This window comes from Homo sapiens, chromosome 10 (genome assembly GCF_000001405.40).
Source record: "Homo sapiens chromosome 10, GRCh38.p14 Primary Assembly".
Taxonomy (NCBI): domain Eukaryota; kingdom Metazoa; phylum Chordata; class Mammalia; order Primates; family Hominidae; genus Homo; species Homo sapiens.
Genome location: NC_000010.11, coordinates 119,291,809 through 119,316,599, shown reverse-complemented (window position 1 = coordinate 119,316,599; position 24,791 = coordinate 119,291,809). Strand labels below are relative to the sequence as shown.

Here is a 24,791-nt window from a genome sequence, read left to right as displayed (position 1 = left end):
GGGTTCTGCGAGGGAGTCTAGCGAATTATCCAACCTGAGAGCTTCAGGGGAATCCCTGAATCTGTTGCCGTGGTCAGAAGTGCCAGTGGCCTGGGGACCCCCACCCTTGTGGCAGGTGCCTGGAGTGAGGGTGGTCTTGTGAAGACTGTGCTCTTCATTTGTGATGTCTGCACTAATCCTGGGTAGTTAGAACTGTGTTGCAGCTGTTGAGGCTGCTATGTCTTCAGGAACCTTCAGCACCCTTCAGCCCAGCTCACTACCCATCTCCCAGAATCCTGATTCCAAAGGCTCAAGGAGCAAATCTGATTGGCCAACTCATCTTTTCTCTCCAGGCCACATGTCACAGGTGACTCTAGAGTTTGAAACAATTCAGTGGGTCTGGTCCTTGTATGGAGAGGGCAGGGTGACATGGCATGGCCAGCCCAGCTCTCAGCTCAGAGCAGAAGCCCCTGGGTTGGGGCCAGGCACAACCAGACGTAGCAGGAATGGGGCCACAGAAACTATCACCCCCATTTCCAGAATAGTCTGGGGGCACTGCTGGTTAAAGGCACAAGGACATGGGGTAGCGAGGGGCACAGGTTACAGAGACCCCAGGACTTCCCAGCAGAAACTGGCTTGTGGTTCAGAAAAGTCAGCATTATGCTAATGCAGGGGACCACATTTGTTAGAAACCCAAACTATGTCATGAAGCGGGGTCTTTCGACTATGAATTTGGAGGGGGAGGAAGGAAAGCCCTGAAAACCGGAGAAGCTGCTCTCAACGCAACTGAATCAGTCTGGGAGGGTCTCAGGTGTCGCAGTGACTGCATGTGGAAGGATCACTCTACCGCGTTCCCAGCCACAAAAGGCCGATGACTCATCTGCAGAGTGGAAGGCAGTGTCACAATTCTGCCTGTGATGTCTGCAGGACTAAAGACTCCATCCAGTTCTTTTCTACCCAGGTGGGCTTTCAGGACTCAGCTCCCACTGTGCTGCCAGCAGGGCTGGATTTCCAGAAAATATCACCGTGGGGAGGCTGTGGGTGTTCTCAGAGTCAGATCTGGCCTGGGCAAAGTGGAGGCGGCCAGCTGTTCTGATGAGAATGGGTTACCCCTGTGTCTACTGCCTCCTGTTCCTCCCTCCCCTCCACTGATGCTTATTTTCCATCCACCAGGGCTCTGCCACCTTTGCCACCCCCAGAGAGGCACCTCCAGCTGAAACTGATGAGGTGGGCATGTGGCTTCTCACTGATTCTAAGTCTCTTTTCATCCAGGCCCGAACAAGGCGAGATCCCAATTACAGGCCTGATCAGGGGCTGCGTCACCGAGTGACTCAAGCCTTTTCAGAAGCAACATGACTCCAGCCAAGTGTATTGAGGTGACCTCAGCCTGTAGGGTACTTTCTCCAACCCGATGCACTTGGCAACCACTGTGAAAGGGAGACAGGCCCCTGGTATGGGGCGGGGGTAGGAGAAAGCACCACCCCTCTGGCCTCAGTTTCTTCACCTGAGATCCAGGAGGGTTACACCAGGACAGGGCGCAGAGCCGCTTCTGTCAAGAGTTTTCTTGAAGATCCCCATAAGTGAGACAGACGATGGGGAGCCCACTGAGTGGGCAAGGCAGGGAAGGGATGGAGTGGGGCAGATACAGGCCAAGGGTCTCGTTCTGTCTCTATGGCTCTCACCTTCTGAGAACAGCCAGCCCCTGCCTGGGTCCCTGACTCGGTGCACCTTCTCTACACAGCCTTTCTGCACAATCTCCAGAATCATGGGGAATCCAGCCTCAGTCCTCATCCTGCCCTCGGTTCCTCCATTACTACGCTGCCCCAGAGTGCTGGAGCTGCGAGGTCAAGGTCTAGTGGCGTCAGGAGGAGACTGCTCCCAGTAACTATCCCCAGATTGAGAGGTTTAGAAGAAAACATGAAGGGCTGCCAAAATACCTGTGACCCAGAATCTCTCGAGATGGGGCTTGTGCAGTGCCTCTGGATGGCATGGGTCCACTGTTCCCTGGGGCAGGAAGCATCAGGAGCTTTTAGGCGCCATGGTCCTGCTGCCTTTGAGTGTATCCCGCACTTTCCTAGCTGAGCATAGGACCCCAGGTGGCAGGCAAGAGAGGGAAGTGGGGTGGTCTGGGGGGCACAGAGCCTCTCCCTGTCCAAGGGTGCATTCCGCGGCTGGCACCACCAGCTTCACCACTTGGTGGGGACTGGCTCTTTTCACATGAGGAGAACCACTTCAGAGACCTAAGGAATGGGCCGAGTTGTGCAGGATCCAGCCCCAGGTTCCATTCAAAGGGCTGACACTCTGATGTGGGCACAGCCAGGCCAGGGAGCAGCTGCCAGAACTGTCAGGCCAGGAGGCGGCGAGAGGGGCTGGAACCCTTTCTGGGCCTGCTGGCCGCCTGCCGCTCAGTCAGGGGCTTGCTATGCTCAAGGATTCCACCCAAAGTGGGGGCAAAAGCCACGGGGTAGATGCGAACCGGGGCATCATACACCCCAGCCCTCCCAGTGGCTCTGTCCTCTACAGGAGCGGAACTGGGGAGCAAAGACACAGTTCTCCTGACCCCAGAAAGTTCCCTGTGCCACAGTTCTCAGCTATGAGTGTCTGAAATGTCTTGGCTGGATGGTGTGAGGCGCGTGGGGCGGCCCGGGGCATCTGGGGCCTGCGGTCTGTGGGCAGGTGCCAGCACCTCCAGGCCCCTCCTCACGGCCACAACACAGTTGGGGTTTCCAAAGCAGAAAAACCTCAGCCTCAACCAGAGGGATCCCACAACCTCAAATGAGGAAAACCAAAACCAACACCAGGCTGGGTAACTGGTCGCCATGGGGATGGGGACAGGGCCCCTCCCAGCACATGGGGCCTGAGAGAGAGGAGCACTCTGGTGTGACCCAGGGGAGGTGGAGAGGCTGGGGACAGTCCCTCCCAGGAAACCCTTCCAGGGAGGGTGGTGCTGACACCAGGCCACCTCCCCCACAAAGGCTACCTCCCCTCCCTGACAGCTGCACTGTTCACCAGGACACAACCGTCCACTGCCTCATGACATCTTCACTGCAATGTAAGCGGGTGTCACTGCACTGCTATCTAAGCCTTGCTACATACCACCTGTGTGGCCTTGGTTAAGTCCCTCCGTGTTTTCTCCTGCAAACTGAGACACTGCTACCCACCTGGCATTGCTCTGTTAAGGATTAGCACCATATGCAAAATACCTAGCACCTCATAGGTGCCACTAAATGTAGCCATTGCCACCACCACTCATTACCACCATCATCACCACCACCCTCCCCATCACCACCACCACTGCCATTGCCACCACCATCATCACCACCACCATTACCACCATCCCCATCACCACTATTACCACCACCATCACCACCACCATTACCACCACCATCATCACTACCGTCACCACCACCACTACCATTACCACCACCATCATCATCACCATCACCACCACCACTACCATTACCACCACCATCACCACTACCATCATTACCATCATCACCATCACCACTACCATCATTACCATCACCACCATCACCACCACCACCACCATCACCACCACCATCATCATTACCACCACCACCATCACCACTGCCATTACCACTACCATCACCGTCACGACCACCATTACCACCACCATCAGCATCACCATCACCACAGCCACCAGCACCACCATTACCACCATCACTACCACCATCACCACTACTATCAGGCTCTGTGGGTGAGAGAACTGAGGACACAGAGCTGGCAAGGGACAAACAGCAGGTCTCAAGACTAGGTCCTCTGACATCTGACTCTAAGTTCAGCTATGTCTCTACCCTACTATGCCCTACATACACACACATACTCCCAGAGCTTCCACATCAGCATGATGCCAGCGTCTGTCCCGACATTGCCAGGGGTGCCACAGGAAGCAGGAAGTCTCACAGGGGCACCATGATTCGGCCCCTACTGCCTCCCTGACTTCACCTCCTCCCACTCTCACCTCTACTCACTCCATTCCAGCCACACTCTTCTCCTCAAACACCCCAGGCATGTTCCTGCCTGAGGATTTTTTCTGCAAAGGGCCAGATAGGGTCTCTGGGTCACAGAGACAGTATGTAGACAAATGAGCATGGCTGTATTCCCATAAAACTTCATTTACAAAAACAGGCAGTGGCCGGATTGGGCTCTCGAGGTGCAGCTGGTCTCATTCTCGCTGCTCTGGCTGCTCCAGCTGCTCCCTCTGCCTGGAACCCTCCTCCTGCTCCTTGGGAGAAAACAGCCTTGGGTTAACAGGTTTGGCCTCCTTGCAGCTTTTGCACAGCTCTCACGTTCTCCATGAGGCTGACCCTGATCGCCATTAAAAAATAATCATTTATTGAAATGAAATTCACTGAATATTAACCATTTTAAAGTGAATAATTTAGGCTGGCTGCAGAGGCTCACGCCTGTAATCCCAGCACTTTGGGAGGCCGAGGCGGGCGGATCACCACACGAGGTCAGGAGATCGAGACCATCCTGGCTAACACGGTGAAACCCCATCTCTACTAAAAATACAAAAACAAAAATTAGCAGCGGGTGGATGTAGTCCCAGCTACTCAGGAGGCTGAGGCAGGAGAATGGCGTGAACCCGGGAGGTGGAGCTTGCAGTGGAGCTGAGATCGCGCCACTCTACTCCAGCCTGGGCGACAGAGTGAGACTCCGTCTCAAAAAAAAAAAAAAAAAAATGAACAATTCAGTAGCATTCAGTACACTCACAGTGTTGAGCTTCCACCACCTCCGTTTAATTCCAAAACATTTAAAACATTTCTGTCACTAGGAAGGAAAATCCTCTACTCACTCTTTTTTTTTTTTGGAGACAGTCTTGCTCTGTCACCCAGGCTGGAGTGCAGTGGTAGAGCAATCTCAGTTCACTGCAACCTCCACTCACTGGGTTCAAGCAATTCTCCCACCTCAGCCTCCTGAGTAGCTGGGACTACAGGTGTGCACCACCACGCCCAGCTAATTTTTGTATTTTTAGTAGAGATGGGGTTTTGCCATGTTGCCAGGCTGATCTCAAACTCCTGAGCTCAAGTGATCCACCTGCCTTGGCCTCCCAAATTGCTGGGATTACAGGTGTAAGTCACCAAGCTAGGCCTCTACTCGCCCTTTTTAATTCTACAACCTGCCCCCACCCACTGCCCCCATCTCAGGACCCCTCTGCCTTTCTTTTACTGTTAATTTCTAATTCCCAGGCACACATCACCCTGCAGCAAGCGTTCTGCGTGGCCTTCTGAGTTATTCTGCTCATTGCTTCCTGCCAGGCTCTGTCTCATCTCCCGTTGGAATGCAGACTTCATGTGAGTGGGTATCCCTGTTTGGTTCCCTCCTGTCTCTCAGACACCTAGAACAGTGCTTGGACATAGCAAAAGCTCCATCAATCTCTGATGAATGGATGGATGGATAAACAGATGGGCGAGGCAGGACCGGAAGGGAAGAGATCATTTCCAAATGGACTTAGAAACAACAACAAATAAGCCACACTGCACACCATAATCTCTGAGCCTCCATTTTCTGCTCTGAAAAAGGGAATACAACCACCTTCCCAGCAAGGCGGAAGGTACACACAGCCCCTCCCCTGGGTGTGCCTCTTCCCATCTCACTCTGTCTGTTGACCCAGCCCTGGATCAAGAGTCCCTTCTTCTAGGGCAGTGTGGAAAGAGAAGGGGTTCTCATCAGACGGGGAGGGCTGGGCTGCTGACTCTTCTGTCCACAAGCTGAATAACCACAGGCCACTTCCCCAACCTCTCTGAACCACAGTTTCCCAATTGGCTTAATAACCAAATGCCCTTTATAAGGGTCGATTCGAAAATGTGCTTGAAGCCCTCGCACTGTGTGAGGCACGAGGTGGGCACTCATCCCATGTTAAGCCCTCTTGCTCTGTATCCCAACTCCCCAACCCCGCCCTGCCTGGGGCTTCCCTCCTTTTCCCTCTATCCCTCTACATCTCTTAGGAGAAAGCAGACCCCTAGTCCTCTTGCAACACTATTGATCTTCTTAAAAATGTCTTTTCCCAAGAAGTAGCAGAACTGGAAAAAAAAAGTTCTTTCCAAGCAAAATAATTTTTTAATGTATTTTTGTGCTCACGATGTTTTTGCCCACACTGGTTTTCACAGTTGAGAAAAGTCTGGCCACAAAAATGGACTTTTCACTACAAGAGTAATCCCCTTCTCTCAGCAAGGCCCAAATTTGGTCACTTTTGCCTCATAATGTTTTCTCTGGGTTGAAGGGGAAGAGAAAGCCAGGGGAAGGGAGATAAGTGGACACCTGAGAAATGCTCCTGGCAGTCGTAGGTCAGCCACTGCTGCAACTGTGGCAATTCTGTTGGAGAAATAAACAGGACTACTTGCTCAGGAAAAATACAATTTTTCATAGGATACTCATAAAAATATTTGCATTTTCCTGTGAGTACTAATTACTTCCGCTCTCCCCAGAATTTTTGCATCCCCTATTTCAAAGAAGCTAAACAAATGCTGTAGAGATCCTGGCCAATCAAAACCTGCTCAGCACTCAGGTACATTAATTACCATGTGGACATGACCGTGTACACACATGGTCTGGGAAGCCTGCGCCACGGAGACACTAGGACGAACCAGGCTGTGGCCTCCATGCTCCACCTCCACAGTCTCTGGGCCTCATGACCCTACAGTAAAGTAGATTTGTTTTGCAGAGGAGGAAACAAGCCCAGAGAGGACAGGGGTCTGGGCACACAGCTGCTGAGAGGCTGAGCTGGGATTTGAGCCTAAGAATGCCTAGTTCTTAACTCCCAGTCCACAAGGATGATGCTGGCTCAAGGGACAGGCAAGAGCTGGGTCCTAAGAACGTTCCCCCAAAGTCTGAAGCCACAGAAGCAAAAACCAGCACAGCACAGAGGCACCTGTAGAGAGGATTCCAACACAGAGATGAGGGTTCACATCTGGTCTCTGTCCATAGCTCTGTGACCCTGGGCAAGCTGCTTACCCTCTCTGAGCTTCAGATTGTTCAAGCGTAAAATGGGGAAACACCACCCTCTTAAGAAGGCTGCTAGGGCCAAAGTGAGATTGTGGTTAGCACTCAGTAAATGTGAGCTGTCGCCATTACTCTGCCCTGACTCTTGATCTCACATAGGGTCACAGGACCTGGGGGTTGAAAGGACCCTTCCTTGTCCTTGATTCAACCTCCCTCAACACTCCCATTGGACCCTGCATTCCCAGCATGCTTCCCTCCCACCAAGGCCTTACTGAGCTCGGCTCTGCCTCCCCCAGAGTTCTTCCATCCACTGTGCAGACTCATATCGAGGACCTACTTGGTGCTTGGCACGTGGCCCCTGCCCTACAAGAGCTCACAGGCTCGTGGGCGGCACTGACCCATGCCAGGTGACAATACTAGAGGAAGAGGGGCTGAGGGGGCACAGGGGAGGCACAATCAACCCTGCCTGTGGAATCAGGGAAGGCTTCCTGAAGGAGGTGACCCTTGGGCTGAACCCTCTCTTCTTAGAGACCACACGGTCCCTCACGCACCAGCCCTGCAGGGATGTGGCAAGAACTCCGAAGGTGGCCCCAGTTTCCATCTAGGCTCAAGAGCCCGGGCCCTGGGCACCAGCCCTCCCAGCCTCAGCACCAGCCTCCTCACTGGAGGGAGCTCCCAGACAGGCCCTGGGAAGATCTGCCTCCCTCAGGGAAGAGTCCTTTCCCTTCAGCTCCGTCTGGGAAGTGGGGAGAAAAGGGCCGGCAGGCCATCCTGCCAGCATTCCCCCAAATCCATACAGGGCTCCCCTGCCTCAGAACTGGACCTGCCCAGGATCTCAGGCTAACACTAAGATCCTCCTCCTGGCCCCCTGGAACCAGGAAGCAGCTGGCCTGGGGGTCAGGAGCGAGGGCAGGCCTGAGCATGGCAGCCACAGTGCCTGTGCAGCCATTGTCTCTAATCCTCAGAACGAGGCGTAAGAAAGCTCCCCCACCGCGTGGCACAGGAGAAGCCATTGAAGCTACGAAGACGCGGGCTGACCGGCCCAACGTCACCGGGAAGAAAAACACACGCCTCCTAACTTTGTCATCCCGACTGTGTTCACCTTTCCCTTCAAGCACTTGGGGCCAAGGGAAGCTCCATGGAGTGGGCTGCTCCTGGGGAGGAGTCAGGGGACCCAGAGAGGATTCTGAGGGGGCACACGCCTGGCCCATACGTCACAGATGACCCTACAGATGACTGTACCGAAGCAGCAGCGAGAGCCCTTGCCACACGCAGAGTTCTTCCCAGTCACTTCTACCATGAGCACACAATTTCGGCAGGGCTGCAGCATGACACCCATTTTGTAGATCAGGAAGCTGAGGCCGGGGCAGGGTGAGGCGTGCCTGGGGTGCGCAATCAGTGATGGGGGCCTGACCCTGATCCAGATCTGAACAGGAGCTGCTGTGGGCACAGCTCTAGTGCCCAAAGATAAACCCGGGCACTTATGTTCCTGCAAGGACCTGGGGAGCAGCCTTAGACCCAGCTCTGACCCTGCAGGTTCGGCCTACAAAGGCGCACTGGGCATACAGTGCAGACCCGCCATGGGTGCCCACTCCCAGGGGACCAAGGACGATGCCTGGAGAGGTGGGTGCTCAGATGGAGCCTCATAGAGGCAGGGTATAGGCTGGGGCCCCAGGTTCCCCATGACCCTTTCCCTCTGTCCTCTCCCCACCTCATTCCTGTGACACAACAGAGCAAGCTGGGGCAAGGCAGTGGGGCTTTAAAAGGCTTCCTAGAAAATGCTTCTTGAATTGTGAAATGGCCAAGGAGGGCTCTGTTGGCAAGATGAGGTTGTTACCCCTCAGAATTCAAAATCCAGTGTGTATGCAGAAAGGAGGGCTCGCCACCAGGAGACCAGAGTAGAGCATGGCTGCATGAGTTTCCTCTTGCTTCAGTAACAAGTTATTAACGGCACAAATGGAGTGCTATAGACACAAATGTATTATCCTACAGTTCTAGAAGTCAGAAGTCTGGAATCAGATTCACCGGGCTAAATCCAGGTGTCGGCAGGGCAGTGTGCCTTCTGGAGACTCCAGGGGAGAATCTACAGGCCACCTCTATTCCTTGGCTCAATTCATGGCCCTTCCTCCACCTTCAAAACCAGCAGTCGCTGGTCAGGTCTTTCTCAAGCTGCATCACTCTGAACTCCTTTTCACAGGCACAGTCCACTCTCCCTCTAATCAGGCCCACCTGATATCCCTGGATAACCTCTCCATCTCAACAGCCTTAACTTAATCACATCTGAAAAGGCCCTTTTATCAGGTAGGTAACATATTCACAAGTTGCAGGGATTCGGATACGACATCTTTAGGGGACCATGATTCAGCCTTAATCATGCAGTGATTAAGACTGCATGCTCCAGGGCCAGACTGCCTGGGTTTAAACCCAGGTATGTAATTTACTAGCTGTGTGACTCCAGGAAATTTACTCAACCTCTCTGTGCTTCAACTGGCTCCTCTGTAACCACATAGATATAGGCATCAATGAGCTGATGCACGTAAAGCATTTAGCATAGTTAAGAAAGTTCAGTGAATAAGGGCTGCAATTATCCCCTACTCTCCACCTAACTCAGAATGAATGACATCAGAGCTGAGAGGAACCTTGCTGATCACCCACGCCTGCTCCTCACTGACGGCTGGAGACACAGAGGCCCAGGGAGAAAAAGTGAGCCATCAAGGTCACACAGCATTTTTTTAGGCAACCCCCAGTACCCTATAACCATACCTAGTACAGACGAGCCCAAAGAAGCATCCCCCATGTCTCCCCAGTGCCCTGCACCCAGTAGACGCTAGAGGACACTGCACCCAGTGAGTCACCTGGAGGGAGAAGAGGGGAAGTGCTCCCCAGCAGAATGTCTGCAGGAAACACCTGCAGGTGCAGCGGCCCCGGCCAGATCCTCACACCCCACCCACCAGGCTCAGGGGCTCAGGCAGACGTGACACCTCTTTCCCCAGGAGAAGTCAGCAGAACAAATCTTGACTAGGGACACCAAAATCCATATTCGGGGCCAAGAGAAGGTGCTCTGCCCCGCAAGTGTCAGCCAGGACCCCGGCTTCCTTCCCTCGCTGTGTGATCTCAGTGTGGGTTTGGACACATCCCCACTCTGGGCTTCCATTTCACATCAGAAAACAGGACCTGGAATGGCTCAGTGGCTCTCAATCTGCAATCATGATCCAGGAGCCCCTGACCAAGTTTCAGAAAATCCTAGAAGAAGCGCACATGCGCCCCAAGCTGAAGCACACAGGAAGCTTGCTCATCCAGGCACTGAAGTTTATCGGTGTGTGCAGTTCAGGCTGAACAGACTCACACAGAGGTGTCTGCAATCAACAAAACGGGGGAAACAGTGACTCACCTCACACAGATGGCCTGTTAGCGGGCAAATTTCTCCACAAAAGGCGACAAGAATCACCACGGGTCCTTGGCAGAGCCTCAACTAGACTCTGCTGTTTCCAACCAGAGAGGACTGACTCATCCAAAAGGCTCCCCCCTCCCCCAAATCCAGCCCAGGCGGGCACTGCCCCAGTGGTTCAACTCCCTCACCATCACACAGTCCTCCAGCTGACACCCAGGACTCCCAGGGAGGCCTTCCAAGGGCTCAACACGGAGCCTTTCCATGGTCTCAGGGGTGGCTGAGAGCAGAGATACCGGAAGTACAGTGGTCAGGCCGTCACCTGCTTCCTCACTGGGAGTTATTTTCTGCCTCAGGGCCTTTGCATATGTCATTTCCTCTGCTAGATACACATTTCCAGAATCACTTTTTTGCAATGAAACATTTCAAGCTTACAGAATGGGAACAAAATTTCTTTAAACCTGCATACCCACAGGTTTTGTCAAAATAATTCCTCCATCCACTCTCCTGTTGAGAGACACGTAGGTTAGGTCTTCCAGGTTTTTACCTCTCAAATGACGTTGCTCTGGGCACTTACACGTGTCTCCCGGGGAGTGGCACTTTATTGCTGCCCCTACTTCACCCGGCCAAGTCCTCAGGTCTTAGGGTCTTGTCCTTCCCTGATCATCCCCAATCAATCAATCCAAGTCATACCCACACAGCTCTCTCCCACCACTCCTCAGTCAGTGTCTGGCTTTGAAAAAGCAGCTATCAAAATTTGTCAGCAAATTTTCACTTATGCCTTTATGGGGCTTCCACCCAAGAGGACAGAGACCACGTCCATTTTGCTCATCAGTGCCTAGGACATGTGCCTGGCACACAGCAGACCTCTGACATGTCTGTGAACGAGTGAATGCTTGAATAAGTGAGTGAGCAGAGGTGTCACCCCAGAAGCAGGTCATGTTGAGCCCATCTTCCCCCAGGTCTCTGAGACACACCTGACATGTCCTCTGCCGGCCCCTTGTTCTGTCAGCGAAGAGAGGAAAGGCAAGGGAGGGGACCACGGGTTCCCACAGCCTTGGAGGACCACGGGACTCTGGAGCTCAGAGCCCAGGGAGGTGGAAGGTCAGAGGCTCTAGGTCAAGTCCTCGCTGCCAACCACAAGGTGAAGCTCAGGAGACCTCATCTGGGCTTTCCTGCAGCTCCCCACAGCCAGACACCCAAGATTTTTCAGAAACAGGTGTCAGCAAAAGAAAAACTGCAGGGAGAGATGGAAAGAAGAGAAGGGAGGGGGTGGGAGAGGAGAGAGGGAAGGGAGAGATGAAAGAAAAACAGGTAGGGAAGAAGGAAGGGAAGAAAAGGAGGAAGAAAAGAGCAAGGGAGGGAGGGACAGAAGGAGGGAGTTGCCCAAACACCTCTCATTAAGCGAACAACTGCCTTTCTGCAAATGCCCTGCTGGTCCGCATCTGCGTGCACAGGGCAAGCATCTCTGGGTGGGGACTGCATGGGGTCGGTTCTCATGCCCTACCCCTAGACAGAGACAGGCACAGAGCCAGCCCTTGGTGGATGGCTGGTGAGCAGGCAGCGTGGTGCACTGGCGACAGTGTTGGGTGCTGGTTATAGACTCCCTAAATCGGGACTCAGGGGCCTGTGGGTGAGCTCAGCTGCTCGCTAGGTGGATGACCTTAGGCCAAAAGCTCTTTGAGCCTCAGTTTCTGCATCCACAAAATGGGAAGAAGAATGTCAATGTTGCCGCCTAGGGTTGTGAGGAATGACGGGGAAATGCACAGAAGCCCATGTGCAGTGAGCACTCAACAGACAGCAGCAAATTAGCCAGGCGCGATGGCACACGCCTGTAATCCCAGCTACTCAGGAGGCTGAGGCAGGGAGAATTGCTTGAACCCTAGGAGGCGGAGGTTGCAGTGAGCTGAGATCATGCCACTGCACTCCAGCCTGGGCAACAGAGCAAGACCCTGTCAAAAAAAAAAAAAAAAAAAAAAAAAGCAGCTCACACAGTTAGCATACTGCTGTTGCCCTGCTTTCCCCTCAAGGTTCCAGGTGGAGGTTTCCTTCCTCCACAGGCCACATCATCCCACTGCTCTGGTCCTTCAGCCAGGGCTGCTCAAAGCTGCCTCTTGGTCATGTCTCTAGATTTGTGCTGAGTCATTAAACACAGTCAAGATAAAGCCCAGGTTCTGAGTTTTCCAACATCCCCAGCACCAGGTAACACCACACCCTCCGCCTTCTGGATCCAGAAAGGCAGGTGAGTCAGCCCTCCCCAGATGATCCTGAAGACGCAGGGCCAGCACCACCCTGGCGCTTTAGGGTAGGCAAGGACCCTGAGTCTGGCTGTAGGGACACCATGCAGTGGGAGATGAGTGATCAAAGGAGCCCTAGTTGAGCCCCAAACCCAAGGGACGGCTGGGGTCCTTCACTTTCCCTCCCCCACCTTCCATGCCACACTGGATCCATCCCCAAGTCTGGGCTCTGCAGTGAAATCCATACCTGTCCCCCTCCCTATGGCCCCAGGGCTGCCACTGGACCAGGCCAGCATCCTCACCTGGACCAGCCTCCTCCCCTCCCACCTCCGTTCTTGCCCCTTTCAAACTATCTCCACCCAGCAGCCAGAGTTATGCAAACCCAAAGCAACTCATGGAATTCTCTCATTTGAAATCCTCTAATGACTTCCCAACAGGTTTAGAATCAAGTCCAAATGCCTCCCGTGACTCCCCCACAACCACTATGCCCCAGGCCCACACTCCACTCCAGACACTCTGAGCTCCTCCCGGCCCATGGAGACCCTTGCGGCTCATGCTCATCGCACAGCCTTCGCCCTGCTGGCTGTGCCCCTGCCTGACCATCCCTTTTCTGACAACTAGGTCTCAACTAATATGACCTCCACACACCCACACTTGGAGGCTCCCCAGGCCCCATCTAAGGTAACACCTCCACCTCCACTGAATCTATCTCATTCTCTTATCTAATCCTGCTACACCTCATCCACTACAGAGTACTCATCACTATCAGACGTTATTAGTTTACACATGTATAGATCGTCTGTTTACAGATATAACATGATCTCGTCCAACTAGCGTTTTACTCTCAATTCACCATCCTGCCCCCGGGGCAGACTCTGCATATGCCCTGGTCACTGCTGATCCTAGAACAATACCGGACACATGGCTCACCCTCCACGAGTGCACCTCTCTGCGCTCCTGCCCACTGTGCAACCTCACGAGGGTCACAGACCCTCTCTGAGCCTTGAGGTCCCGCCTCTCTAAAATGCAAGATATTCGATCCATCAACCTCTAAGCTGTCTTCCTTCAGGGATGGAGAAGGGGAGCAGGTGCTGTCACCAGCATCACCAGCACTACCTTTGCCCCAGTGACAGCGTGCATATACAGCAGTAGGGCAGAGGGTGATGTTGGTCACGTGGGGACAGAAGCTGCTCCAGAAGCCCCTGACAGAGAGGCCCCAGGGAACCCCAGGCCTCTGTGTGGAAGGAGCCTGCCAGGCCCCCACCCTCTCCTGTGGTTCCCAGGCTCTGCAGCCTCTGATCAAACACCTGGACAGTCCTGCTTTCTGGCCCCAAGAAGTATTTACATTTTGATTAAGTCTGGTTTGAAACCACCAGGTAGGCTGGCTTGAGGCCTGACAAACCCCAGCCAGTTGAACTGTAATAACAAGGTGCCCTGGGGAGCAGGTAGAAATGTGGGGCTGAGGGAGGAATCGCCACTCTCCAGAGGCCCCAGCCCCATCCTCCACCCTATGCAGCCTGCGAAGAAAAAGTACAACCAGCTCTTGTGATTAGAGGTGGTCACTGCTCCAGTGAGCCCCAAGGTTCTGCTCTGGAAATAAACAGCAGGGCAAGGAGCTCAGGGCACCACACCCAGATACGAGGAGCCTGCCCCCTGCCCTTGGGCTCCTCTGCCAGGTAGCATCACCCAGGAAGCAGGATGTAACCCTGTTTCAAGCTGGGGACTTGCACAAAGTCACATTTTTATCCTGGATATATTCTGAGGACTCTGCTAACAAGCTACCACTGTGAGGCCTCCACAGGCTGGGAAGAAGCCCAGTTATTCATTTTACTAGCTTCAAGTCTCCTTGAAAGTGGGATTCTGGAAGCAGTAAATGACACCTTAAAGGAATGTGGATTTCTGTGTCCAGAATAGCCACTGCCCCATCACCCACTCCCTGCCACCCCACCTGCAAGGGAAAAAGTCCAGGAAGCCAACGAATGCTTTAGAAATGCAGCGTTCCTTCATTGCTTGGTATTTTCATAAGAAATCAAGTCTCCTCAGCAGAAAGTGCAACTCTGCTTGTACCACCTGGCACTACAAAAGCAGAAAGATTTCATTAAGTGAATGAGCTCCAAAAAGATGGCAGTGGCTGCCGGGAATCCTGGAACTCAAGACAGGGTCCAGGCTCAATGAACAGGAGTCCCACAATTAGTTAGTAATGTCTGCCATTGGCCTGGCAGAGGAAAATGCTACCCACGATAAGTGTTTGCTGTTCAGGGATCAGAAAAGCAGCTAAAAGAGCACTTCCAGGAATTCAGAAAACCCACGGTTTGACTGGTAAGGAGGCGTGGTCAAAGTGACTCAAAAGGAGAGCCAGGGGCTTCTGGAAGACTAAAGAGAAAGCTGCTGGCAACTTCTTGGGCAGAGGACAAGACGCTCCTAGAAAGATCAAGTCACTTCCTCAGCAGCCATCGGATGGGGCGTGCTCTAGAGCCACCTCTGTGCTGTGGGTAACACCAAGCCTGGGCTTCCTTTCTTATAAAACAGGAGGAACAGTCCACACCCTGTGTACTTCGTGGGGCTGCTGTGAACACCCACTATGTGTGGAGACAGGGGAATAGGACTCAGCAGCGAGAATGAACCAAACACAACTGCACACAGCCACAGGCCCAAATCTCAAAGACAATGGTGAGTGAAAGGAGCCAGCCTCAAAAGGGCCAAGGCTGCGTGGCTCCTTTCACCCAGAGTTCAGAGGCAGGCAAGACTAACCCATGGCGTTAGAACCACCACAAGGTAGATGGGGCCTGGAAGGGGCTCCCGGAGGGTCCTGGGGTGTAGATGACGTGCTTCTTGACTAGGGTTCCACAGGGTATGCACTTCATCACTTTATGAAAAACCATCCAGCAGTATGTCTATGGGTTCTGCACTTTTTTTTTTTTCTTTTGGGACTGAGTCTCCCTCTATTGCTCAGGTTGGAGTGCAGTGGCACGATCTCGGCTCACTGCAACCTCTGCCTCCTGGGTTCAAGCGATTCTCCTGACTCAGCCTTCCAAGTAGCCGGGATTACAGGCGCCCGCCATCATGCCTAGCTTTTTTTGTTTTTTGTTTTTTTTGCATTTTAGTTGATACGGGGTTTTACCATGTTGGCCAGGCTGGTCTCAAACTCCTGACCTCAAGTGATCCACCTTCGGCCTCCCAAAGTGCTGGGATTACAGGCATGAGCCATTGTGCCCAGCCAGGTTCTGCACTTCTTTATGTAAACAGTACGACTTGATAAAAAGCAAACCCCATGGTCTGGAAGTCCTTTGTAAACCTCAAGGTCAAGATATTCATAGAAGGACTCACCTCTTAAAATACAAGTGCTACTGATCTCTTGGAAATGAAAGGCAGGTGAGATCATCTCCCAAAGTCCTAGTTCCGCCTGTGATTAGGGGGAACCTAGGTGAACCTTATTCTCTGTCCCAGATCTATGCATTTATAAGCTGGGCGACTATCTGGGGGAAAGAGGGGGCAACCTCTGTCCTTTCCCAATGGCACATTGATGTCTTTCATTAGACTGAGTTATCCCCTATGCCATCCACCACACCCCCAATATACAGACTGCTTACCCACTTCTCACACCTGCTCTTTTGCCTCATGGGAGATGCACTCTGGTCTGTGAGCAATGGATAGCAGTGTTGACCTTAGATTGAGGGTCAAACGTTGTGGCTAGTCCTTTAGAAGGTAACACATCAGTCTGCAAATAAACCCAATTTTGCATCCTGCAAAAAAGACGACTTATATTCTCCTTCCTTGCTGGCTCACTTCCTGCACACCTCTCCATTTTAAAAACATATTTGCCAACTCATAAAAACCTGTGGCACAGCGGCACCCAGGGTCATGAGACATGCAGATTTTTCCACTCAGCAGCGCATTTTTCTTTAGGGAGAACAACATTTTAAGTTTAAAGAAAAATCCCCACCAAGCCTTTTGCAGGGAATGCTTGATGCCAGGGAAGCTGAGTACACCAGGAAGAAAAGGCTGCTTCCCCTTAAGAACATCTGCTTAGGGAACATCACACACCGGGGCCTGTCGTGGGGTGGGGAAGGGGGAGGGCTAGCATTAGGAGATATACCTAATGTAAATGACGAGTTAACGGATGCAGCACACCAACATGGCACATGTATACATATGTAACAAACCTGCAGGTTGTGCACATGTACCCTAGAACTTAAAGTGTATTAAACACACACACACACACACACACACACACATCTGCTTAAATGAAGAGTCTGTGACACACTGCAGGGGGAGCCAAGAGCCCAGCACGCTACTCCAGGCTCAGTCACTATATGGTCAAGGGCACCTTCAACCCATTCCTTCTCTGCACTTCCTTCTTGCAGAAAATGAGGCCTTGCACTACAGCTGCAGTTCTCAAACTCTTTCAACAGGACCCTGCAGGATTCCCTAGGGACAACTCCCCCATCCCAGAACCACTAAAGTGAGGCACAACAGGTTTCTAAGACATTTAAGCAAGTTTGGAAACTACTGAGTTAGATGAACTTAAGGCTCCACAAAGGAAACCCAGGATTTTACTGTCTCTCCTGGTATGAAAGATAACTTTTTTTTTTTTTTTGAGCTGGAGTCTTGCTCCATCACCCAGGCTGGAGTGCAGTGGCGTGATCTCGGCTCACTGCAACCTCTGCCTCCCAGGTTTAAGCGATTTTCCTGCCTCAGCCTGGAATTACAGGTGCCCGCCACCCCGCCCGGCTAATTTTTTGCATTTTTAGTAGAGACGGGGTTTTGCCATGTTGGCCAGGCTGGTCTCAAACTCCTGACCTCAGGTGATCCACCCGCCTTGGCCTCCCAAAGTGCTTGGATTACAGAGGTGAGCCACTGCGCCTGGCCGAAAGATAATTTCAAGCCTCCTAGGCCTCTGTCAGAAACCTACTCCAATATTCATTTATTCATTCTGCTGGTCAATGAATACCTGCTATTCTTGGCACTGAAGATGAAAGAGGAGACAGGGCCTGGTCCCCGTCTCCCAGGGTGGTGGGAAGTGGATGTGCCAGCCTTTACTTTAATAAAAGGTGTGACTCAAGGAGGGTTGAATGTGCACACCGCAGGGAGCATGGGGAAAGTCTGCAGGGAGAGTCAGGGAGGCCCTGTGGCAGGCAGTGTTTGAGCAAAGGCTGAAGTTGGCCAGGAGTGGGGGATGTGGCTGGGGGGTAAATGGAATTCCTGGCAGAGGGAACAGCATGTGCAAAGGCTCAGTGAAGAGAAAGCAAAGCTGAACATGCCAGAGCATGAAAAGAACGAAGGGTGTCCAGGAAGTGCGGGGCTGGAACCATGGCAGGAAGAGTAAGAATGGGGTCCTGGGGGTGCACTGAAGAAGCTGATCTGACCACTCTTGATAACAGGATTTGGAGATTAAGGGAGGGGGTGTTGAGACAGGCTCCCAGGCCATTTGTGGATGCAGGGTGAAAAGGCAGAGCACATTCAGAGAGAACAAAAACAACACTAGCAATAAAACCTATCGAAAATGCTAAGTTTGAGATGCCGAGAACACCCTGGCAGAGTCAATGGCATCAAGAGAGATATGTGCACTGGAAGTGAGGGATTCACGGCCATCGGTGGGACCAGAAACAAAGCATTCAAGAGCACGGCACTAGAGTTGGCTCCTCTGCCCACCAGGGCTGTGACTGGGTAAGAAGCCTCAGGTCTCCACTCTGTTTCCTGTTAACCTGAATAATTCCCACTAGGTGTCAGCTCCCCAGAGGTAGGAACACATCTGCCTTATTAGGCACTTGGAATTGTGCCTTGTATATAGTAGGAGCCCAAAAATCTTGGTGAATGAGTGAATAAATGACCAAATAGTACTGACCTCAGAGAGCTGCATCATGAGGATTAAACAAGATATGTACAGTGCTGAGCATAGCACATGCATGCAGTAAGTGCTCAATAAATGTTAACTCTGAGTAGAGGCACTTCCCCCAGAATGCTGAGGCCTGAGTCCAGGGCTGTCAATATTTCAGGAAGAAACATAGCTAGAAAGACAAAGTGAGGTCCCAGTGAGGGTAGGGTCCTGAGCCCCAGCAATAAATGAATTTCAAGCAAAGACAGTGAGTCAATTTCAAATGCTGCTCAGAGATCATAAGGTTAGAACAAGAAGTTTCCATTGAGTTCAACCCAGAAGTCTGCTTAGTCTGTTTTGTGTTGCTATAACAGAATACCTGAGACTGGGTAATTTATAAACAACAGAGGTTTATTTATTTCATGGTTCTGGAGGCTGGGAAGTCCAAGAGCATGACTTCAGCATCTGGCAAGGGCCTTCGCGCTACATCACTCTGTGGTGGAAGGCAGAAGGGCAAGAGGGGGCAAGAGCAAGAGAGCAAGAGGGGGCCAAACAGGAGTAGGTTGTTATAACAACCTATTCTTGTCATAACAAACCCGCTCCTGAGTTGACAACATTAATCCATTCATAATGGCAGAGCCCTCATGGCCTAATCACCTCTTAACCAGTTCTACTTCATAGTATCATCGCAATGGCAATCACATTTTAACTGAGTATTGGCAGGGACATTCAAACCATAGCAAAGTCCTTTGCCAGAGCAGCCTGGTGGAGGATGGGAGAGACATCTGACCTCTGTACAGTGGGGAGGCCAGACTCTTCACCCATCTGCAGGCTGTCAGGGCTCCCATACAACAGAGGTGGTGATGACAATTATGGTGATAGTGATAATGGGAACAACTGCACTAACATTCGCCAAACTTTCTAAATGCCAGATCCTGTTCTAGGCCAACACTACAGCTTCATCACATTTCATTTTCTCACCATGACTTTGAAATTACACCCAAGAAAGAATGAGATCTCTCTGGTAGCTTCTATTTCCAAACCAACCCCATGGCAGGGTCTGGGCCCATACAACTCCCGACTCCTTCCTCCAGTCTCCATGCAGTGTCCCGAAGGAGGGAGCCCTTAATGACACCAAATCCCTTTGGAAGCTCCTCACTGAGGCTGCTCTCCTGGCTGGCCAGCTCCCAGAAGGCTCCTATCTTGGTGTGAGGGGAGCTGCCAGCTTCAGCTGTGGCCACCAGATACCAGGACAGAATCCAAGTTCTCACAGGTCAGGTGGCTGCCCACAGGGTGACCAGTATGTCTTTCTGCACAAGAGCACTGGGGGTGGGGCCCTGCGCTTGGACTCAGTCAGTCCTAGGCTCTGTCCACAGAACGTGCTGCTTGTGGACGAGTCACCTCACTTCTGGCAGCTTTAATTGACTTGTCTAGAAAATAAAGATTATATATACAACCCCCCTCAAGGGTTGTTCTATGAGGGCCGCAAAACTGATTTTAGGAGGAAAAACTCCATAATATGCCAAAGCCATGAGAGACGCTCATCAGAGTCTGTCAGCCATGGGAACCATTTCCTACCAGCAACCAGAATTAATGATGCACCATGACGTCCTCCACAGCAGCCTTCACTTTGACCAGTTGTTCCAGGACCTCCTCCAAGAAACCTTTTCTGCCACCCCTGCCTGCCCTCCCCAGCCACAACTAAACATCTCTTCTTCCATCTGCAGCAGAACTTTGTGGCAGACATTGAACAGTGCCTGTTCACCAGCCAGTGGTTCCTCTCCCTTTACTCCTGTGGACAGAGTCCACCTCAACTACAGAGTCAGAAAAAGCCAAATATTCACTTGTCCAGCCTACCTTGCAGTTAGGGCATTTGCTATGTGATCTGGTTCTGGCTAGTAGAACTGATGGAGGGTGTCTGCTGGGGAGCTTTAGGAAAGGTTCTTTTCCAAAAGTACCTTCTTCAGCTGAGCATCTAAATGGGACTAGACGTGACGCCTGGAACTGTCGCAGCCATTTTGTGACATGAAGGGACAAGCCCGAGAACCAAGCCAATATGTCGAGGATGCTGGTGGAGAAAAATAAGAAGAGCCTGGGTCCTTGATGGCACTGCTGAGCTGCCAAGCTCGTCCTGGGGCCACCTAGCTCCAGACTTCTTCTAATGTGGGATGATAAACATTTGCTATTGTTTAAACCATTTGTAATCAAGCCTTATTTCTTGAAGCCCAAATCATCCTGATGGGTTTTCTTTTTTTATTATTATTTTTAAAATATTTTTCCCATAAGTTATTGGGGTACAGGTGGTATGAGTAAGTTCTTTAGTGGTGATTTGTGAGATTCTGGCGCACCCATCACCCAAGCAGTATACGCTGCACCTTACTATTTTATGCCCCACCACCCCCCACCCTTCCCCACAAGTCCCTGAAGTCCATCGTATCATTCTTATGCCTTCGTGTCCTCATATCTCAGCTCCCACATATCAGTGAGAACATACGATGTTTGGTTTTCCATTCCTGAGTTACTTCACTTAGAGTAATAGTCTCCAATCTCATCCAGGTCGCTGCAAATGCCATTAATTCATGCCTTTTTATGGCTGAGTAGTATTCCATCATATATATATATATCTCAGTTTCTTTATCTACTCATTGATTGACAGGCATTTGGGATGGTTCCATGATTTTGCTGCTATAAATATGCGTGTGCAACTATCTTTTCCATATAATGACTTATTTTCCTCTGGGTAGATACCCAGGAGTGGGATTGCTGGATCAAATGGTAGTTCTACTTTTACTTCTTTAATGGACCTCCACATGGTTTTCCATAGTGGCTGTACTAGTTTACATTCCCACCAGCAATGCCTGATGGGTTTTCCACTTATTTATTCAGCTAATATCTATTGAGCGCCAACTGTGTCCTGACCAGTGTTGAGTCTAGGGCCCCACAAACAGGATATGTTCTCTGCCCTTAAGATGCCTGTGATCTGATGGAGGGACTGGTTGACTTTTTTTTTTTTTTTTTTTTTTTTGAGACTGAGTCTCGCTCTGTCGCCCAGGCTGGAGTGCGGTGGTGCGATCTCGGCTCACTGCAACCTCCGCCTCCCAGGTTCAAGCGATTCTCCTGCCTCAGCCTCCTGAGTAGCTGGGACTACAGGTGCATGCCACCACGCCCGGCTAATTTTTTGTATTTTTAGTAGAGACAGAGTTTCACCATGTTAGCCAGGATGGTCTCGATCTCCTGACCTCATGATCCACCCACCTCAGCCTCCCAAAGTGCTGGGATTACAGGCCTGAGCCACTGCACCCAGCCAGCCACCATGCCCTGCCCAGACTTTTTCTATAAAGAGGCTTTGTCTTTGCAGACCACATGGTCTCTGTCAAGACTACCCTGTTCTGCCATTGGAGAGCAAAACAGCCATAGGCAATATGTAAAAAATAGGCATGGCTCTGTTCCAAAAGAACTAAAGAACTTTATTTGTAAAAATAGAACTGGCCTAAGGGTCACAGTTTGCTGGCCCCTGTCCTAGAACCTCAGAAGTTCTAGAAATTATATGTCTCCCCCTGCCTCCCTCCTCCTTAGCCCTGCGAACCTGAGCAATGACCCTGGCCACACAGAGTCTAGACCCAAATCTCCTGACCACTGGCTCACACCTGATTCCTACTTATCTTGTGCCTGGGGTGAGTCTTGGCCCTTTCCTGAGAACAAGAGCATTTGGAGAGAAAAGCCCAGAGGTCCAGCTTGACAGGTGGCTGGCGGCAGGTTGGGTCAGGACAGTGCCTGCCTGGGAAATCTGCTTTTGGGATTCAACATTTCCCTGCAACCCAGCCCCTCACCCCAACTCCTAGGTCCTGGCAGAGGGCTGGGGGGACACGTCTAACCAACCGAGATGTGGTCCTCACCCGCAAGAGCACCTGCTGGGTTGGATCAGGCCTTGTGGACCCATTAAAAGTGGTTATAGTCTCACCTTACCAAGAAATTGAGACTAGGACAGGTTCTGAAATATGCTCGAGTGGCAGAGCAGAGATTTGAACTTGGGTCTGTGAAATGTTCTCATCACCACACATGCCTCTCACCCAGATCCAGGTACGCTTTCCTCCCTGCAGGAGGGGTCAGAGGCAAATACACATGCGTCTCCTCACACCATGAAAGTAAGTGGAGAAGCTGAGCCTCCCTCATTTCACAGCTCCTGGGTCTCTGTTTTTCCCCAACTCCACAAAGCAGAGGTGGGGGTGGAGGTTGAAAATGCTCAGCTCCCAGACCCCCGGGATTAGCAGGTGATTGTCAAGCATCTGAAAAGACACAGAGTGCTCTTGTCATTATTAGATCGTAATAGATTCATACTCACCCCCTCCATCTGAAGGCGTCTATTTCAGGTTTAACGTAACAATAGAGTATTGTTCCTACTCCAGACTCGGGTACCACCCCGAGGCGATGGCAGCACCCACCCAGCCCCACCCTGGCACTGACTGCTGCCTCGGGGCAGAGGCAGCACCACCCAGGCATCCAGGCCATCATCCACTCCCTCCTAGATTCCCAGCAAATCTCCTGGGCAGTGACGAGGAGGCCCAAGGTCTATCCGGAAGGAGGAATGTACAAAGAAGCCAATTTGCCTGATACTTGGTACCTGGCAATCCGCAGTCAACATAAACTATCCTCCCAATGCCCACGGCCAAAGGTCACCAGAGTGACAGACCCATGGCTGTGCACTGGGAGGTCAAAAGACAGACGAGGAACAACAATCACTTAATACACAGAGTGCTTGCTGTATACCCCATCTCTGCTCCTCAATTGTATTCAAGCTTTGCATTCAAGGTTTTACAACTATCCCATGGTAGAGCTTAGCATCTGTTAGCTAATGAAACAGACTGGGCGTCGCCAGAGAAAAGCACCCACTGGTCTCAAACTCCTGACCTCAAGTGATCCACCCACCTCAGCCTCCCAAAGTGCTGGAATCACAGGTGTGAGCCACGGCATCCAGCCACCTCAAGTCTCTTGTCTGTTAAATGGGAGATAAAAATATGTCCTCCACCTGTTTCACAAGAATGGGGTAAGATTCAAAGAGAGTAAGCCACTTCCTGGCTGCATAACCTTAAACAACAGCTTATACATAACTTCTTCAGGTCTTCGCTCTTTTATTTATAAGATGGGAAAATTCTTGTTCATACGGCTCCAGAATATGACAGGAGATGAAGCCACCAAATGCTGAGTGCAGTGCCTGGCCCAGAGCTTGAAGTTTCCCAGTATTCAATGATTAGAGGGTGCTTTGTAAAACATAAAGTCAACACGCAGTTGGCCTCCCATATCCACGGGCTCTGCATTTGTGGATTTAATCAACCATGGATTGAAAACATTCAGAAAAAAAAAAAAACTGTATCTGTACTGAATATGTATGGACTTTTTCTGTTGCCATTATTCCCTAAACAATACAGTATAGCAACTATTTACATAGCATTTACATTATATCTAGAGATGAGTTAAAATATACCAGAGGCTGTGTATAGGTTATATGCAAATATGACACCATTTTCTGTCAGGGACTTGTGCATCTGCAGATTTTGGTATCCTCAGGAGGTCCTGGAACCAATCCCTCACAGACACCTAGGAAAAACTATGATTGGAGAGCCTTGTCCCTCACCGCATCCCATCTAGCACACAGCAACCTTAAGTTTGTGTGCAATTTCAAATGTACTTAGGCCCTGAGGGTGAGAATTAGGTTTGGGGAGGTTTAGGGTATTGGGTTTTTTTAAATTATCTGAAAGACCCCAAAATAGCCACCTGCCCAAGGCAGCAACCCAGAAGCAATGAGCAGATGAACATGGGGGCTATCCCTGTGAAGCCGAGGCACCATGTGTTTGTGAAGGAAGAGGAAGAAAGGAGGATGAGGAGGAGAAGGAGGAATAGGAGGAGAAGGAGGAAGAGGAGGAGAAAGAGGAAGAGGAGGAGAAGGAGGAGGAAGAGGAAGAGGAGGGGAAGGAGGAATAGGAGGAGAAGGAGGAAGAGGAGGAGGAGGAATAGGAGAAGGAGGAAGAGGAGGAGGAGGAAGAGGAGGAGGAGGAAGAGGAGGAGGAAGAGGAGGAGAAGGAGGAAGATGAGGAGAGGGAGGAAGAGGAGAAGGAGGAAGAGGAGAAGGAGGAGGAAGAGGAGGAGAAGGAGGAAGAGGAGGAGGAGAAGGAGGAAGAGGAGGAGAAGAAGGAGGAAGAGGAGGAGAAGGAGGAAGAGGAGGAGAAGAAGGAGGAAGAGGAGGAGAAGGAGGAAGAGGAGGAGAAGGAGGAAAAAGAGGAGGAAAAGAAGGAGGAAGAAGAAGAGGAGGAGGAGGAAGAAGATGAGCAGAAGGAGGAGGAGGATGAGGAGGAAAAGGAGAAGAAGGAAGAGAATGAGGATAAAGAGGAGAATGAGGATAAGGAGCAGG

General features: G+C 51.4%; 1 protein-coding gene across 1 annotated transcript in view, besides 12 other annotated features; it reads right to left on the bottom strand.

Moving 5' to 3' along the window:
* GRK5 (G protein-coupled receptor kinase 5) overlaps positions 1 to 24,791 on the bottom strand; it is a 252,175-nt gene that overhangs the window by 143,146 nt on the left and 84,238 nt on the right. The window lies entirely within an intron of this gene.
* Positions 530 to 669: an enhancer, noted in NCBI's record as "active region_4117". NCBI's record gives its function as "activates an Ori minimal core promoter by ATAC-STARR-seq in GM12878 lymphoblastoid cells {active_cell/tissue: GM12878}" and the evidence as "EXISTENCE:reporter gene assay evidence [ECO:0000049][PMID:35858748]".
* Positions 530 to 1,857: a biological region, named in NCBI's record as "BRD4-independent group 4 enhancer GRCh37_chr10:121074255-121075454".
* Positions 532 to 1,165: an enhancer, noted in NCBI's record as "H3K27ac-H3K4me1 hESC enhancer chr10:121074947-121075580 (GRCh37/hg19 assembly coordinates)". NCBI's record gives its function as "activates a minimal SCP1, AML or CMV promoter by ChIP-STARR-seq in primed H9 embryonic stem cells {active_cell/tissue: H9 hESC(primed)}" and the evidence as "EXISTENCE:reporter gene assay evidence [ECO:0000049][PMID:30033119]".
* Positions 658 to 1,857: an enhancer, noted in NCBI's record as "BRD4-independent group 4 enhancer chr10:121074255-121075454 (GRCh37/hg19 assembly coordinates)". NCBI's record gives its function as "activates an origin of replication core promoter dependent on BRD2, P300/CBP, MED14 and CDK7 cofactors, and independent of BRD4, by STARR-seq in HCT116 cells {active_cell/tissue: HCT116}" and the evidence as "EXISTENCE:reporter gene assay evidence [ECO:0000049][PMID:35650434]".
* Positions 713 to 882: an enhancer, noted in NCBI's record as "experimental_10046 CRE fragment used in MPRA reporter constructs". NCBI's record gives its function as "activates a minimal promoter by MPRAs in K562 erythroleukemia cells, with activity observed for both the introgressed and non-introgressed 10:121075315 variant alleles {active_cell/tissue: K562}" and the evidence as "EXISTENCE:reporter gene assay evidence [ECO:0000049][PMID:34662402]".
* Positions 1,189 to 1,483: an enhancer, noted in NCBI's record as "tiled region #9266; HepG2 Activating non-DNase unmatched - State 6:EnhF, and K562 Activating DNase unmatched - State 8:EnhW". NCBI's record gives its function as "activates a minimal TATA promoter and a strong SV40 promoter by Sharpr-MPRA in HepG2 and K562 cells {active_cell/tissue: HepG2 | K562}" and the evidence as "EXISTENCE:reporter gene assay evidence [ECO:0000049][PMID:27701403]".
* Positions 1,370 to 1,419: an enhancer, noted in NCBI's record as "active region_4116". NCBI's record gives its function as "activates an Ori minimal core promoter by ATAC-STARR-seq in GM12878 lymphoblastoid cells {active_cell/tissue: GM12878}" and the evidence as "EXISTENCE:reporter gene assay evidence [ECO:0000049][PMID:35858748]".
* Positions 1,550 to 1,599: an enhancer, noted in NCBI's record as "active region_4115". NCBI's record gives its function as "activates an Ori minimal core promoter by ATAC-STARR-seq in GM12878 lymphoblastoid cells {active_cell/tissue: GM12878}" and the evidence as "EXISTENCE:reporter gene assay evidence [ECO:0000049][PMID:35858748]".
* Positions 2,385 to 2,564: an enhancer, noted in NCBI's record as "active region_4114". NCBI's record gives its function as "activates an Ori minimal core promoter by ATAC-STARR-seq in GM12878 lymphoblastoid cells {active_cell/tissue: GM12878}" and the evidence as "EXISTENCE:reporter gene assay evidence [ECO:0000049][PMID:35858748]".
* Positions 2,575 to 2,884: an enhancer, noted in NCBI's record as "active region_4113". NCBI's record gives its function as "activates an Ori minimal core promoter by ATAC-STARR-seq in GM12878 lymphoblastoid cells {active_cell/tissue: GM12878}" and the evidence as "EXISTENCE:reporter gene assay evidence [ECO:0000049][PMID:35858748]".
* Positions 9,944 to 10,043: an enhancer, noted in NCBI's record as "active region_4112". NCBI's record gives its function as "activates an Ori minimal core promoter by ATAC-STARR-seq in GM12878 lymphoblastoid cells {active_cell/tissue: GM12878}" and the evidence as "EXISTENCE:reporter gene assay evidence [ECO:0000049][PMID:35858748]".
* Positions 10,454 to 10,533: an enhancer, noted in NCBI's record as "active region_4111". NCBI's record gives its function as "activates an Ori minimal core promoter by ATAC-STARR-seq in GM12878 lymphoblastoid cells {active_cell/tissue: GM12878}" and the evidence as "EXISTENCE:reporter gene assay evidence [ECO:0000049][PMID:35858748]".